We start from the raw sequence: 16,714 nt of genomic DNA on the forward strand, positions 1-16,714 counted from the left end.
TGTAATGGTTGTTCCATTGTTTGAATAAGCATATAAATTACAAGTTTGTGACTGTATTAGTTAACATTTACTGAGCATTGACCACGTGCTACACATTGTCTTATCCACTTTAGGCATATGTTGTCTCATTTAATTCTCCAACAACTCCTTGGGTTAGGTGATATTTTTGTGCCCATTTTATAGAAAGTAGAGCTAAAGTTTAGAGACCTGCCTAAGTCAAGTATTGCATCATGCATACTTCCTCTCCTTGTGGGGCGTTTGTTTGAATATGAGACTCCTTAGTAACTTTGGAGTCTAATGTCAAGGGTCAAATTTCTGTCATGAAATCATTTATGCATTGCAAGATTGAACAAGAAGTAAAAGCTGAAGTAGGGTGTTTGAAACCTATGCAATGAAACGGTAAACTAAAAAATAGTGAGAATTAATTAATTAATCACAGAAAGACAGTCACAGCTGCTTTGGATCATGCTGGATTTATTTAGCAGAAGTAGCATAATTCTTTAGAACAGAAAGCAAAAGCAGAGACATTGATTGAAACTGCAGGGGGAATTTTGGTAAGCAGAATATAATTGCTCATTATTTTTATTTGTATCTTCCCATTTCCTTGTTTCCCTTTCCCTTTGTTCTTTAATAATACTCAAGACTTTGCATGAAAACACATTCTTTTCATTACTTGTATATTTAGCCTGGTCCTCCAGCTTGTCTCATTCAGAAGTCATAATCAGTTTCTAATGTCATTATAATTTCTAGTTGGGGCATCATAATCATGAGAATATGACATTTGTAGAAGCAGATGAACCAAGAAATAAAACACTTATTTTTATGCAAATATTCCAAGCAATACACTAAAAGAACAATAAATTTAAAAAGATAACTCTGTCACTATGGTGGGCTTCTAAACTAAAATCTTCTATGACAATTCAACTGCTTTATACAGGTCTGACTGAAACTTGATTTTAATAGTGCACACAACAGTACCCTTTTTAAGCCAATATTTGTCCTCATACATTTATTCACACTGTAAACAAATTATAAAAATATAGGGTTTTAAAAATATTAATATTTTTATTTATACTTGGAGGATGAAATGAACATTAAAGGATTTTTTCTTTCCAATCACCTCAAAAATGAAACAAAAGATAATTATATAAAACTATTTTGTCACCTAATATATGTCTGAAATATATTACTTAAATGGCAACAGGCTGTTGATGTAGTTTCTCAATGTTGCATGTTTAATGACAACTCTGCTCTTTACCAGAAACAGTAGAAACATAAGATTGTTTTACAAAATATCATTTGACAAACATATGGAGTATTCATCTGCTCTATTGTATTTCATTTTAAATAAATATGTGAATGCATATATTTTAAGTTTTCCAAAATCATTGAATTCAGTATCAGATATTATTTAGATTGATGTCAACATACTTTTTTTCCACAAAGCATCAGATTGTAGTTATGTTTTACTTTTCTAGACACATGGTCTCTGCAGCAAATAGTTGACTGTGCTGTTGTAGCATGAACCTGCCATAAACAACACATTAATGAATTTGTGATGTATTCCAATACAACTTCTTTACAAAAATACATGGGGGCTGGATTTGGCCTGACGGTACTTATTTGCTACTCTGGTTTAAGAATGTTTTTCAACAAGTAAACCTTTGCAAAATAAACCTTTGTTAATATTTACTTTATTTACTGTAAGATTGTTCTTCTTACACATTAAATGAGAGTTATGATAAATTACAAAAGGGAAACTATTACTTAAAACTTATGACATTTTTGCATGCAGAAAGATCAGGCTAAAATGCAAATATGTTTTCTAGTAGAAATTGTAGTCTGACTCCCAGTACATTATGTTGCTTGATGATTTCAAAGGTAAAAAGAAGCAATGTACTCCCAAATTCTTACTAACTTAGAAACATTGTGTCTCTTCCAGACAGAAAACTGGGCTTATCATACTTTTTCTGTTGGTAAAACATTCTTTTCTCACCTCTTGTTTAAAAAAAAAAAAAAAAACTTTGAAAAACTAAAATTCCACTGACCTATCAAAATGATCTTAGATCTCATGGTAGTACAACCCAGTGTCAGAAATAAAACATGGTACAACCAAAGCTAGAGGCAGGAAGAATCCTGGTATCAATAGGAAGGTCATGCTTAGAGAGGTCATGCTTCTTACTATATTCTATTGTTTAAAATAGTTTTGAAAAAGTGATGAGGTGATTAACTAAAAGATCTAACCTGCAGAGATGGCTCTGAGCTGGGAAGAGGGCAGGAATGAAGCATGTATTCCAAATTAGCATCTAGAATGAGATTTTATAAGCTGTAGTGTTTTTTTCTTTCTTTTTTTTTTTTTTTTTCTTTTGAGACAGAGTCACGCTCTGTCGCCCAGGCTGGAGTGCAGTGGCACGATCTCCGCTCACCGCAAGCTCCGCCTCCTGGGTTCACGCCATTCTCCTGCCTCAGCCTCCCGAGTAGCTGGTACTACAGGCGCCCACCACCCCTCCTGGCTAATTTTTTTTTTTTTTTTTTGTATTTTTAGTAGAGACAGGGTTTCACTGTGGTCTCGATCTGACCTCGTGATCCGCCCGCCTCGGTCTTCCAAGGTGCTGGGATTACAGGCATGAGCCACCATGCCCAGCCTGTAGTGTCTTTAATATCTTAGTTTGCTTGGACTGCTATAGCAAAGTACCACAGACTGTGTGGCTTAAACAAGAGAAATATATTCTCACAGTTCTGGAGGCTGTGAAGTCCAATAACCAGATGCCTGTAGATGTTGTCTCTGGTGAGAGCGTGCTTCCAGACTTCAGCTGCCTTCTTGCTGTGCCCTCACACAGGCTTTCCTCAGTGTATGTGTGAGGATAGAGAGATCTTGTGTTTCTTCCTCTTTTAAGGGCATTGATTTTTATAAGGGCAACACCCTCATGACCTCATCTAAACATAATTACCCTCCAAAGATCCAACCTCACAATACCATCACATGGGAAGTTAGGGCTTAAACATATGAATTGTGGGGTGACACATTCAGCGCGTAACATGTAATTTATCCAGTCTTAATTAGAAGGCTTAATATTGGAGCTTTCTAGCCAAAAACAGGTAGTCATCATGTGGGAGAATACCTTGACTTGACTTATACTCTTCAATACAGTAAGAATATAACAAATGGAGTTTATTTTATAATTTTCCATTAAAACTCTCTCATTATGTCTTGATAACGCTCTGTTACTTCTGTCAAGAATACAGCTAAATGTTAAGAAACTTATTCTTGAGTAGCCAGAGTGTCTCCACAGGCTAATTATTAGGACTGAATTAACCTATGAATTTAATGGATTAATTAAATCTTATAATAAACATTTTGAAAAAATTATGACATGAGGAGTGGCAGCACAGTGGTTGCAACAACAAATGCCTTACAAATGGTGGCAAAAGGGAGCCAAGAAGAAACAGCTTGATCCATTTTCTAAGAAAGACTGGTATGGCATGAAAGCACTAGCTACGTTCAATATAAGAAATATTAGAAAAACGCTTGCCACCAGGACTCGAGGAACCTACATTTTATCTAATGATCTCAAGGGTACTATCTTTGAAGTGAGCCTTTCTGATCTGAAGAATGATGTTGTATTTAGAAAGTTCAAGCTAATTACTGAGGATGTTCAGGATAAAAACTGCTTAACGTCCATGGCATGAATCTTACTTGTGACAAAATGTGTTTCACGGTCAAAAAATGGCAGACCATACCTGAAGTTCACGTCAATGTCAAGACTACCAATGGCTATTTGATTTGTCTATTCTGTGTTAGTTTTACAAAAAAAAAAAAAAAATACAACAATCAGATACAGAAGACCTCTTATTCTCAGCACCAACAGGTCTGCCAAATCCAGAAGAAGATGATGAAGCTTCCCACCCAAGAGGTGCAGAGAGATTTCCTGAAAGAAGCAGTTAATAAATGGATCCCACGCAGCTTTGAAAAACTCATTAAAAGGTCATAAAAAGATTTGCCAATTTATTTATACTCTCAATGATGTCTTCACTAGAAAATTCAAAGTTTGAACTGGGAAAACTTGAAGGTAGTAGTTCTTGAAAAGCTTATGGATATGAACTGCCAGTCCAAGAATCTGTTTAAAATTCAGATGTTTAATAGTGACAAACAAAAATCCTGTATGTGAAGAAAAAAAAACATCATGATATTGCTTTCTATATAATTTTTTTCTGTTGTATTGTAAGAAAGATACATCCCTTTTCCTATAGATAAGACTTCTGAGTGTTTTTCTGTTTGGCAATATTAGCAATCTATTTTCTGCCTCAGAAAACCTATTTATAGACCTCCTATTATCAGGCATTGTACTGAATTATTCTTTGTGTCCAAAGTTTTTCAATTTATTTCCTTGGTATTTTAGTGCATATACACATTGTATAAAATAATGGCCTTTTAGTCTTCTTCCACTGTAGCTCTCTTATTTCTGTTTTATTCTAAATTCATGAAACATAACTTTCAAAAGGAATCTTACAAATAGTGATAATAACAGACATCTTCCTCAAGTTGATAATTTTAATACATATTGATATTCCATCATTCATTATAATGTATTTTGTTTAAAGTGTATTTACTTTGAAAATAAAACATCTTTTGTTAATTTTCCTTATAACATTTTTGAATACCAATTTGTGTTCTAGCATATCCAATCAAGTTGGTCACACTGTATGAGAATGAAATGTATTTATTTAACTTACTTATATTATAAATTGTTTAAGTAGTCTGCTTATATTGATTGTCTTTATACTTCTTTTTGAAAATTAGTATACTGATCATTGTTAACTCATGCTTCTATTTCCATGCTAATTATTTATAGGATTCATATCTATTTTTTCATATTATGATTTATGTAGCTTCTTATCTCTTATGACCTGAACAGTTTATAAAATGCCAATTAATTCATTTCTGTGAGAAAATAAAATAATTCCGTAAAAATTAATAAACATTTTTATAAGTTTCTCAATGTTATTGTCAGTTATTGATTCACTGACTTCTCTGTGTAGTATATAAAATCACATATTTATTTAGAAAATCATCCATTTCATTGATGTTTTCAACTTTAGCAAATTAATCATGAAAGCAATTTTGCGCAATGTATTATATTTATGATTGTTTTTATTTTCTTTATTTACATTAATAGGTTTCCCTAGTTTGTTTATTTTGTTAATTTTTTTACAGGGGTAAACCTTGGATGTGCGAATGCTGTTACTTTTATTAGAGTGTTATAATGGAAATAAAGTAGTTACATAATGAATATAATGCCACAAAGAAGGCATAACTTAGAATTTGCACTCTTGACTCACTGCTGTTTTATTTGAAGTATTAGTTTTCTGTTGCTACTGGAACAAGTTACTACAAAGTTAGTGCCTTATTATTCTACAAGTCTCTAGATCAGGAGTTTGACATAGGTTTCACTGGGCTAAAACTAAGGTGTCAGCAACGTTCCACTTCCTTCTGGAGTTTCCAGGGGACACTCTGTGTCCTTGCCTTTTCCAGGTTCTAGAAGCTTCCCATATTCCTTGACCTACATCCCCCTTTAAGGTCAGCAATGATGAGTCAAGTTCATCTCACCTGGCATCAATATGACTGTCTTCTCCTGCCCCATCTTCCACTTCTAAAGGACTCATAGTGATCAGATTGGGTCCACCAGATACTCCAGGTTAGTTAAGGTCATTACCCTAATCACGTCAGCAAAGTCTCTTTGCCACGACATAACATTTAGCAGGATTCAGGTGGGAGGATTAGGATTGGACAACTTTGGTGGGCTATTATTTTGCTTCCCACATCTGTTTTCCTTGTCAGTCATGTTTTCAGATTCAAATCAAGTTGCACATCTTTCGTAAAAGAAATTAATGTACACGAATCGGATTCTTATCCATGATTGACTTTCTTTCCTCTTTGTCAAATTTATCTTTTAATTGGTTTCTAAGCATATTCCGAAAAGTTGTTTAGCTTTCCATGGTTGGCCAGGGATCTATCTACATAAATTATTGCATTTGGACACAATTTGCATTAATTTATGAATATTCCCTAAGTTAATAAACAGATTGTGTTGACAGAATTTGTTTGCCTGAGTTGGTCATCAGTTTAATCAAACTAATTACCCTATTATTTCAGTAAATAGCCATATTTGGAAAACATTTTTTACTGCCACCTAAGTTAAAGGAAAAAATGAACAGGACATAAGATTATGAGTAAGGAAGAAAGAAATTTTGTTATCAGCTTGTGTATACTCTACAAAAAATATGCTCGTCACTGTTTCATTGAAGTTTCACAGTGTAAGTGAGACTATGAATATAAAGTAGTTTACTAAAATTATTTTTTAAGTAACTACTGGTTGGTACTTTTAAAAAATCTCCTGTCTGAACTAAACAAAGATATTTTTATAGATGCAGCATAAATCTAAATTTCTTAAAATGCTTAGAAAAATTATATGGAGTGTTTCTATGAAATTGGGGTTTTTCAAGAATCAATGATTGTTTTCAGATTCAAAGAGCATTTTCTACCAGTTGTCGTCAGAGGATTTGACAAAAATTTATCAGCCTCTTAATATACCTTTTAGTCAAGTTCTAGGAATTTTCTCAGTAGTATTATGTTGTGATACAGGTTTTTATTAATGTTTATTTTGTTTTATGTAGTAAAGCAAATTTCTTATTATTTCACCTCTAATAAATAGTGCTTGTAGACAGATCAATAAATGGATGATGAGTGATAGATACATAGATGACAAATTAATAGATGACAGATGAAGAGATACAGATTGACAGATACTTGTGTCAGTGTTAAAAATGTTCAACTTACGTCCATATTCTATGAGTCATATTTGAGATAATTATGATCATCAACTTTATCTATTTGGTTTTCAGTGTGATGGATATAGTAATTTGATCATTATAATATGTATACCTGCATTAAAACATCACATTGTACTCCATAAATATGTGCAATTAGTATGCATCAGTTCTGAATAGAAAAATAAATTAAACATAATATTCTCAAGGTCTTTAGAAATAGCTGCTTAATAAGAAAGATCTAGTAGAAATGCAAAATAATTCAGCCACTGTGGAAAAGAGTTTTGTGGTTCTTCAAAAAGTTAAACATAGAGTTATGATGACATGATTCCTCAATTTCTCTCTAGTGTATATCCACAAAATAATTGAAAACAGGTACTAACACAAGTACATGTACACCCATTTTCATAGCAGCATTTTTCACAATACTCAGAAGGTAGAACAGCCCAAATGTCCACCAATGGAAGAATTGATCATCTAATTTCGATATACCTATACAATGGAATATTATTCAGCCATGAAATGTAATGAAGTACTGATATATATGGTACAAACTGTAACATGAATGAACCTCCAAAATTGGTTAAGTGAAAAAAGCATGACACAAAAAGTTACACATTTTATGATTTCATGTATATGAAATATCCAGAACTGATGAATCCATAGAGACAGAACACAGATTGGTGGTTTCCAGGGGCTGAGTGCAGGAAGGAATGGAGAGAAACTGATTGATGGGTAATGGTTTTAATTTCCAGTGATGGAAATGATGGTTTTGGAACTAGATACCATACTTTAAATGCCACTGAATTGTTCATGTTTAATTTTGCGGTATATGAATTTCACCTTGATAAATTATTGTTAAAATTAGTAAAAAGGTCTATGGTTCAAGCTATAAAACTTCTCATTGAGGACTATGAGGACTAGGATATTTATGCTCCTAGGTTCAAAGCTCTGGTAGGGGCTTCTGCTCCCTAGTCTTCACCTGCTTAAGCTACATCTGCAAGAATCTGTCCTTTCCTCTTTGAGCAATCAGCTTCAATGGCTGAAGGTAGGTGTTTTGTTGTCCCTCAATAACAGCTGCAGAGCCTCTATAAGTCCTTTAATCTTCCCTGATGAAGTCTATGCCCCAGCTGGGTGTAATCCTCATCCGAAGCATACTGAAACTCGGAAGAGGTGCCCTTGGCCCATTTGCCTACATACTGAACATTAAAATTTATTCTGCTACCCACATACAGGGCATAGAGATGCTCTGGTACATTGTCTATTCTCCAGACTTCATCAGTGGATATTATGTCACAGATGTCCTCTGTTTTCAGATTCCAAGTATAGATGAAAACTCTACTGAAACCTTCCAGAACTTGGAGACCCATTTCTAATCCAAGGGGAAGACAAAAATCTGTTCTGACTGATCACATATTTCTGTATCCTCTGAGTACTAACCACAAGAAACATTTTTAAAGTAAAACATCAAGATGTAACTCTTTTCTTTCATTCCAGAATTTGAATCTCTTCTGAGGCAATATGTAACACTTACTTATTATGAAAGGAATAAAGAATAAAAAGAAAAATGTGGCAATATAAACCACATATGTTAAGACTTAGAAATCTTATTCTTGAATGAGTAGAGCTTTGTATACAGGTGTTGGTTTCCTAGGGTTAGGTTCCCAACACTTTAATATTATCACAAAGATGATCTCAAAACCATTATATTATCAGTCTACTTTCTGTACCTATTATACTGGTAATAGGAAGTAGGAGGCCAGAGAGTGGATAGACAAATAGTGTTTTTCTTTGAGAAGCCCTCAGAAAATACACCTAAAGCAACAACACATTGTTCTGTGTATGTTTACCTATCTATCCCAAATAACTACAGAACATAATTCCATTGATGTAAGTTCTATGATCTTAGCACTCCATGGTTTGATCAGACATCCTGATTGATGATCAGAAGCATTCTGTTAAAGACTATTGATCAGGGATTCTGTGATAGTTTATTTAAAATGCCACAGATTCTTTCTCTTTCAGTCATCACATATTTACATTGGGATATTGCAGATTTTTCCATCACATGGCTTCTATTTCTTCACCCCTTGAATCTGGGTTGTTTGTGAGACTTGTGAGACTTGCTTTGACCAAAAGAACATTAACAAATGTTAAACAAGCAGTGACTTGAAAAGAACGTGCACATGGAGCTTGTTCTCTTGTGGTTCTTGGAACTCTTTCACATCCATGTGGACAAGCCTGGACTCATGTGCTGAAAGATGAGAGACCACATGGAGAGAGACCCCACAGATCCCAGCCATTCCAGACAAGGCTATGATAAGCCTCCCAGCCCCAGTCAATCCATCAGCTCACTGCATATGCCTGAACAAGCCTAGCTGAGATCAACCAAGCCTGGCCGAGACTTGATGAATTACACAGCTGAGTCCAGCTCAAATAGCAAACCATAAAATTATGAGCTAAATAAATAGTTGTTTCTGGCCACTAGGTATTGGGTTGTTTTCTTATGCACCAAGAGCTAACTGATAAACCTACTAATCTATTTTACAACTTACCATTTCATTATAATTCCTCAAGAAAAAAATATAAATCATGCCAGCTTATTTGTTGAGGCGTCTTGCTAAAAGAAGTATAAACTTCTGAAAAAAAAATCTTTCAAGGTTTGTGTGATGGACTAAATTGTGTCCCCTCAAAATTCATATGTTGTAGCCCTAACCATTCATGTGACTGAAACTGGAGATTAAGGAGGTAATTAAGGTTAAATGAGGTCATAAAGGTGGGATGCTAATCCAAATTTACCTGTGTTCTTACATCAGGGATGCGTGTGCACAAAGAAAAGGCCATGTGAGGACATAGCAAGAGGGAAGCTGTCCGCAAGCCAAGGAAAAAGGCCTCAGGAGAAACCAAATCTGCCAATACATTGATCTTGGACTTCCAGCATTCAGAAATGTGAGAAAATAAATATCTGCTGTTTAAGCCACCAGTATATTATATTTGTTATGGTAGCCTTAGCAAAGTAAGATAGTTTGTGTTACTGCCTTCTTTTTGCAGATAAAGCAATTATATCTGATAGGTATTATGTAACCATATTAGTCCCATAGACAGTTGTTTTTGGATAAACATAGAAATTGACCCTTCTGTTGTTAAAGCTTCAAACTTGTATTTGCTTTATCTGAGTTCCTTCCTCAGGAAAGGATATTCAGTTCTCTCAAAAAAGTATCGAAGAACTGAAATTCACTAGATCACCATACCAGATAACTCCTTGCCCCTCCCTAGTTCCTGATTTCTTAAACATTGTTACATTTCTTCCCTGCTGTATAAAACCCTAGTTTTAATCAGTCAGAGAGATGAATTTGAGACTGAACTCCCATCTCCTTGCTGCGGCACCCGATTAAAGCCTTCTCCCTTGGCAATATTTGTCTTCTCAGTGATTGGCTTTCTGTGCAGCAAGCAGCAGGACCTAGACCAAACCCCTGGTATTGTGGTAACAAACAACACACATGCACACACATATACATGCAAATGACTGATAAAAGAGATAAAAGAAAGGAAAAGGAAAGCAGAAGGAGGAAGATCATCCATGAATCCATTGAGAATAGACACTGATGATCTATTTGGTTTCTTTCTTTACCTAATTCTTTATCATTATAGCTTTTGTATATAATGCTAGCTTTCTACCACATCATGTTAGGTTATTTACCCATTATGTGATCTTTCTTTTAAATGTTTCTATTTCTTTTCATTAAATGAAATAATTGTTAAAGGGGTGACTTCAATTAACTTCTAGGCCTTCTATATAGTGTTGCAAAGGCCCATATTCTACATCTAGGTTAAATTTTCCTGTCTTTTGTTATTTAATTATCTAGCATATGAGCAACAAATAGGGATCTGAAAGTGACTATCTGTGTTGGGTTATCCTTGGAAAAATAACATGACAAACAAAGGTAGATTAGCCCACTGGTAACAAAATTCAAATGAGACAACTATCCTGTTCCCCAAATCAAATATTTCTCAAAAGCAATCAATGATTAATTAAAAGTAGTGAAAACACATTTAATAATCTTTACTAATGAGTTTGAACAAACACTTGGATTGATTAAAAACTAAATAATGAGCATGCTAAAACTCTTGCATTCATCAATAACTAAACTGTTTTTAAAGTTAAGTGCCAAATTTGTTTATTTTTAATGTTGCATCATTAAGTAAAATTTGTGTTTAAAGATTTTATACAACTAGATGTTTTTATTTTTAACTTAGACATAGCTATTTTCCTAACAGTTCTTTTTAACAAGTCCATCAAGATTTAAATAGCAAAATTCTATTAAAAACTGGGATGTTCACATGTAAACCCAGCACACCTTTATAGGTACATTAGTTTTAAGGCTCAAAATACTCATATGGAATAATTAAGTATTGTATTTTCAATATTAGCATTTAGTTTAAATATGCTGTGCATAATGTTTTACTATATGGCCCATCCTGTCATCGTTTTTATATTCTTCAATTTTTTTTATGGTACACAGATGTTTTGCCTGCCCTATTTATGCTATGCCAAGGTGAGTATTTTTGAAATGCCTTATATTTAGAATACCACTATAGGAGAATATGATTTATCAACTGTTTTGCAACATGTATGAAGTACTTGACTTATTTTTAAGGATTTTGAGCAATGAAAACTTTTATTTTTAAAAAAGTTATAGAATGATACATAAAACTTAACATTTTGATCATCCAATAAAATCTGCTTTCAAGAACATTATTGATGATATTGGGGGAGTGTCTTGAATTGTTTTCAGGAGACCATGGCTCATTTTCAGATCTACTATTTGCAGCACTTTTTAAAAAATTCAGATGGGGATCTTTGATTTTACTAATCTTCTGGATAATAACTGACAGATGTATAGGTCTGGAGCATTTGAGTCCTCTCCCAAATTTGAGAAAGAACTTTGAACGTGTTATATTTGAATTCTCGTGGAAGACAATAAAGGAAAGCCTTAGATAACCAATTAGATATGAAGTGGTAAAATGAGTTTCACCACCCTTAGAAATATTTAGTGACAGCTGAGGCGGGTGGATCACCTGAGGTCAGAGGTTTGAGACCAGCCTGGCCAACATGGTGAAACCCCATCTCCACTAAAAACACCAAAAATTAGCTTGGGGTATTGGTGGGCACCTGTATTCCCAGCTACTCAGGAGGCTTAGACAGGAGAATTGCTTGAACCCGGGAGGCAGAGGTTGCAGTGAGCCAAGATTGCGCTATTGCACTCCAGCCTAGGCAAAAGAGCAAAACTCCGTCTCAAAAAAAAAAAAAAAGAAAAAGAAAAAAGAAAAGAAAGGAAAGAAAGAAAGAAAGAAAGAAAGAAACATTTAGTGACAATAGGAGACAATTGAGTAGAATGGAAAGACTAAAAATAGTACAAATTTGGGGAAAAAAATTCAGGGTTTGTTCATAGGCCCAGCTCCTATGTGTGTGACTTTATGAAAAAAATATTGGTGAGTTTTAAGTTCTTCAATCATAAAATGGGGATAAAACAATTCTTCTTTTACAGGTATAAAATAGCTAATGCCTGCAACTTAATAAGCAATTGCAAACTTTCATAACATCTTGGTAATATAGAGATTAAATTTTCATGTTGAAAAATTTAAGAATCACAAGAAGTGACAAAAGCAGTACAGAGAGTCCCTGGACCCTACACCCATGTTTTTACAATGATGATGTTGTACTTACCCAGGGGTCATTTCAAAACCAGGACATCAACATTGGTACAAAATGATTAACTAAATTACAGATTTTTTCAGAATTCATAGGTTGTTACATACACTTTGTGTGTGTGTGTGTGTGTGTGTGTGTGTGTGTGTGTGTGTGTGTGTGTGAGAGAGAGAGAGAGTATGTGTGTGGTCCAGGAATGTAGTACTATGGAATTTTATTGTATGGGTAAATTCATGTAATCACCACTGTCAGACTGCTTGATCACTACAAAGAAACTCCCATTTGCTACCTTTTTATGTCACATCCTTATCCCATTCCTAACTCTTGGCAACTTCTATCTGATCATTTTCCATCATTGTATTTCCGTCATTTGAAGAATATGGTATAAGTGGAGTCATGCAACACTATGCAATTTTTGAGATTTTTTTCACTGAGCATAATGTCCTTGAGTTGATCCAAGTTTTTATCTCAATAATTTATTTGTTTCTTATATTGCTGAGTAGTTTTCCATTGTATGACTGTACCATGCCTCTTTAAATCCATCCATATCCACTCACTGAAGGACACATGGGTGGTTTCTAGTTTGGGATTTGCAAAGAAAGCTGCTGAGTACATTGTATAAAGATTTTCCTATCCACAAGATTTTATCTTTCTAGGATAAACACTCAGGAGTGTGATTACTGGGCTGTATTATTAGTATGTCATATGGTTTGGCTGTGTCCCCACCCAAATCTCATCTTGAATTGTAACTCTCACAATTCCCATATGTTGTGGGAGGAACCCAGTGGGAGGTGATTGAATCATGGGGGCGGGTCTATCCTGCACTGTTCTCGTGATAGTGAATGAGTCTCATGAGATGTGATGGTTTTAAAAATGAGAGTTTCCCTGCACAAGCTCTCTCTTTGCCTGCTGCCATTCATGTAAGAGGTGACTTACTCCTCCTTGCCTTCCACCATGATTGTGTGGCCTCCCCAGCCATGTGGAAGTGTAAATCCCATTAAATGTTTTTCTTTTATAGATTGCCAGTCTCAGGTATGTCCTTATCAGCAGCACGAAAACAGACTAATACAGCTTGTTTAACATTTTATGAAACTGGTTGTTTAACATTTGAACTTGCAAAAATTAACAAGTTGTTTAACATGTTTAACATTTAAAGAAACAGACTGTTATGAAACTGTCAGTGGGACTGTCCATTTTACATTGCTGGCAGAAATGTTTGAGTGATCCAGTTGTAGATTGGTAGTGTATTAGTCCGTTCTTATACTGCTATAAGGTAGTACCTGAGACTGAGTAATTTATAAAGAAAAGAGGATTAACTGGGTCACATGTCTGCAGGCTGTACAGGAAGCATGGCTGGGAGGTCTCAAAAAACTTACAATCATGGCAGAAGGTGAAGGGGAAGCAGGCACGTCTTACATGGATGGAGCAGGAAGAAGAGAGAGGGAAGGAAAGTGCTACATACTTTTACATGACCAGATCTCACAGTAACTCACTCTCTCCAGGACAACACCAAGGGGGGTAGTGTTAAACCATGAGAAACCACTGCCATGATCTAATCACCTTCCACCAGACCCCACATCCAACATTGGGGATTACAATTTGACATGAGATTTGGGTGGGGACATAGATCTAAACCATATCAGGTAGTATTTTAAGTAATGCAAAATATAAAATTATTTTTTATCTCAGACTTTTTGGACAAAGACAACTTGGTCATAAAATACATTATAGAAAAATTGCATATCTGAATGATAATACTAAGAATTGAGAAAATACTTGATTCACTCTTATGAAAAAGTTTGTTTCCTTAATGAGTGGATGGCTAAATTGATACAGAATTCAGCTGCTCAGAAATTTACACATTCGTTTCTATATTAAGCAGACCACATTCTTATTTTTGTTTAAAATAGACAAGAGACTTTATTGTATAAAATCCCCCCTATACAAACCAAGATTCATAGGCTCTTCAGAGACTCCTGCAGTATGTTCGTTCATTAACAATATAAGGACAGGAGGACTCTATCTGATGAGAAAGCATTAGCAAGATTTGATTTGGAATGTAATACAATCCCAGCAGCTGAATATGAGTTACTTTAAAATAGTTCCTATTAAAGAAACTACGTGTTCTTTAGAACCAAGATAACATCTTGTGTTATCTTTACAGTGAAAAAATGACAATTCCCAGGGACATCTTTATTGCAGCAGTAGGCTGCTACATTCATTCTTCAAGAAAGCCATTTTAACATATGCAACTAACTTATTCCAAAATCAACAGCAAAAAAAAGTTAACGTAATTGTTATTTTTTCAACTTCATAAATTACAAAACCATAGGCAAAAAAAAGAATTGAACAAGGGTAAGATAACCAATCAAATAATGTTAACCTAGTCAGAGTTGTTCTCCACATTTTAGTGTCATTTATGATAGTCAACAGAATCAACTATTGTAATTATTAACTTCTTTGGTGTACTTAAAATCCTTTAGGCAATGGAGATCACCCTTTTATGGAAATAATTTATTTTAAAACTTCCTCTTTATAGTTCCATGTATTTTTTCCAAATTTACTTTGTTTTGTCAGCTAAAATCCAAATGAACAGAAATAGAAGTACTTTTCATCAAAATAAACAATTATATATATCTGGGAAATCTTTATCCTATAAAGTTAGAATAAAGACTCTTGAGAGTCATTGTAAAATATAGTACATTTTTAGCCAATAAAGAGATTAAAAAAGAGGAAAATAGTACTGCTCTCACTGATCCTAGAGGGTAGGCATGGGTGGAAATGAGTCAGAGCCACTGAGGTGCAGTCAGTAATTGTTTGCTCTCCACTCTACTGATGTGAACTAATTCATTATTTTTTTATTCTGAACTTATATGTTTCCTTTGTAGTCATGCTGTGCCTATAATTTATTAGTTCTTTCCCTTTAAATTTTATTTGTACCCTGGGAAAATTGGAAGTAGAAAGTCTGAACAAAAAGTACCAATCTTCTTTGACATGCTCTTAATAGCAATAATCACCACAACAACCTCAAACAAGGAAGGTTTTTCCCCCATAAAGGCAAAGATACCAACAATATGTTTTCTTTTATATTGTGCACCTTCAAGGTAATCAACAGAAATAAAACAAATGCATTCATTTTCCTGGTTATATTTCCCAAGGCAAGTTTATTATTACATCTCAATAGCTATAAATTATCCATGTAAAACCAAATATAGATATTATTATGCACCAGGGTGCCTTTATATGAGTATTATAAGTGATTTGATTATAGGATCTTACACCTAAATATTTCTGAAGCAACCATAGTAAAAGAGTTCCTTTCAATACCATGATACTCAACAGAAATTAGACAGTTAAAGGAACATTGTAAAACATGGATTTTGGTGCAAGCTGTTTATCAGGCACACTTTGAGGACGATGAAAGCCCCAGTTAAGTGTATTTGTCTGCATACTGTAAAACACTTAAGATCAAATTCAGGATTGGGTGAGCTATCCACAATTACTGGCGTCAGCAGTTTAAATATAGTTCTTGCTGAGAACACCTTCATGATAACTGTTCCAAACCCATGCATTTTGCCAGGTAGAGGCAATAATTGGTAACTGTCAATGCTACCTACAAACACCATGTTCCTCCAAAAATAACCCGGAATGATTAGCTCTCAGCAATTGGCTGCACTTTTGCTGACTTCTTCTGAGTGGTTTTTCACACACAGTCATAGATAAACCCACTGTAACCTAACACAGCTGATGACTCATTTCATGGCTTTCTGCTTGTCTCTTTCAAAGCTGTATGTTGTTTCTGTTTTAGAAAGAACAAGCATCTATTTTTAAAGGAAGGGTGGGTTTGCTTTATTATTATTCAGAAAAGGACCAATCTGGCATCCTATCATCTTATCCTGTGACATGTAGAACATTCCTGGGTTTTGTTCCATAAATATAGAAAAGTTTTATTTAAAGGAACAATGTCAAAATGACCTTCAAGCCTATCTATAGACTTTTGTGTGCTGCTAGAGTAAATGCAGAATTCAAATTGAGTTTTCCTGCAAAATGCATTTTGGAAGGAGACATTTCTAGAGATTACAGATGGTTCAAAAGCAATTTAATGCTGGGTACACTTGGGGTGCTATCTGATTCATGAATAATGAGGACACTCACTTGTTCACTGGATATATGGTA

The 16,714-nt window shown here is 34.5% G+C and overlaps 1 long non-coding RNA gene and 1 pseudogene across 5 annotated transcripts in view; both read left to right on the top strand.

Moving 5' to 3' along the window:
- LOC105378027 (uncharacterized) overlaps positions 1-16,714 on the top strand; it is a 246,946-nt gene that overhangs the window by 219,647 nt on the left and 10,585 nt on the right. For 4 of the 5 annotated variants that reach the window (XR_001744387.3, XR_001744385.2, XR_007059791.1 and 1 more), the window contains one exon: positions 9,645-9,777. This is a non-coding gene — a long non-coding RNA (uncharacterized LOC105378027). Of the gene's footprint in view, positions 1-3,860; positions 4,995-9,644; positions 9,778-16,714 lie in introns of those variants that run through there. The other variant, XR_943073.4, reaches the window with a different exon arrangement.
- RPS3AP24 (RPS3A pseudogene 24) lies at positions 3,404-4,126 on the top strand (annotated as a pseudogene).

Source organism: Homo sapiens, chromosome 6 (assembly GCF_000001405.40).
Source record: "Homo sapiens chromosome 6, GRCh38.p14 Primary Assembly".
NCBI classification, from domain to species: Eukaryota; Metazoa; Chordata; class Mammalia; order Primates; family Hominidae; genus Homo; species Homo sapiens.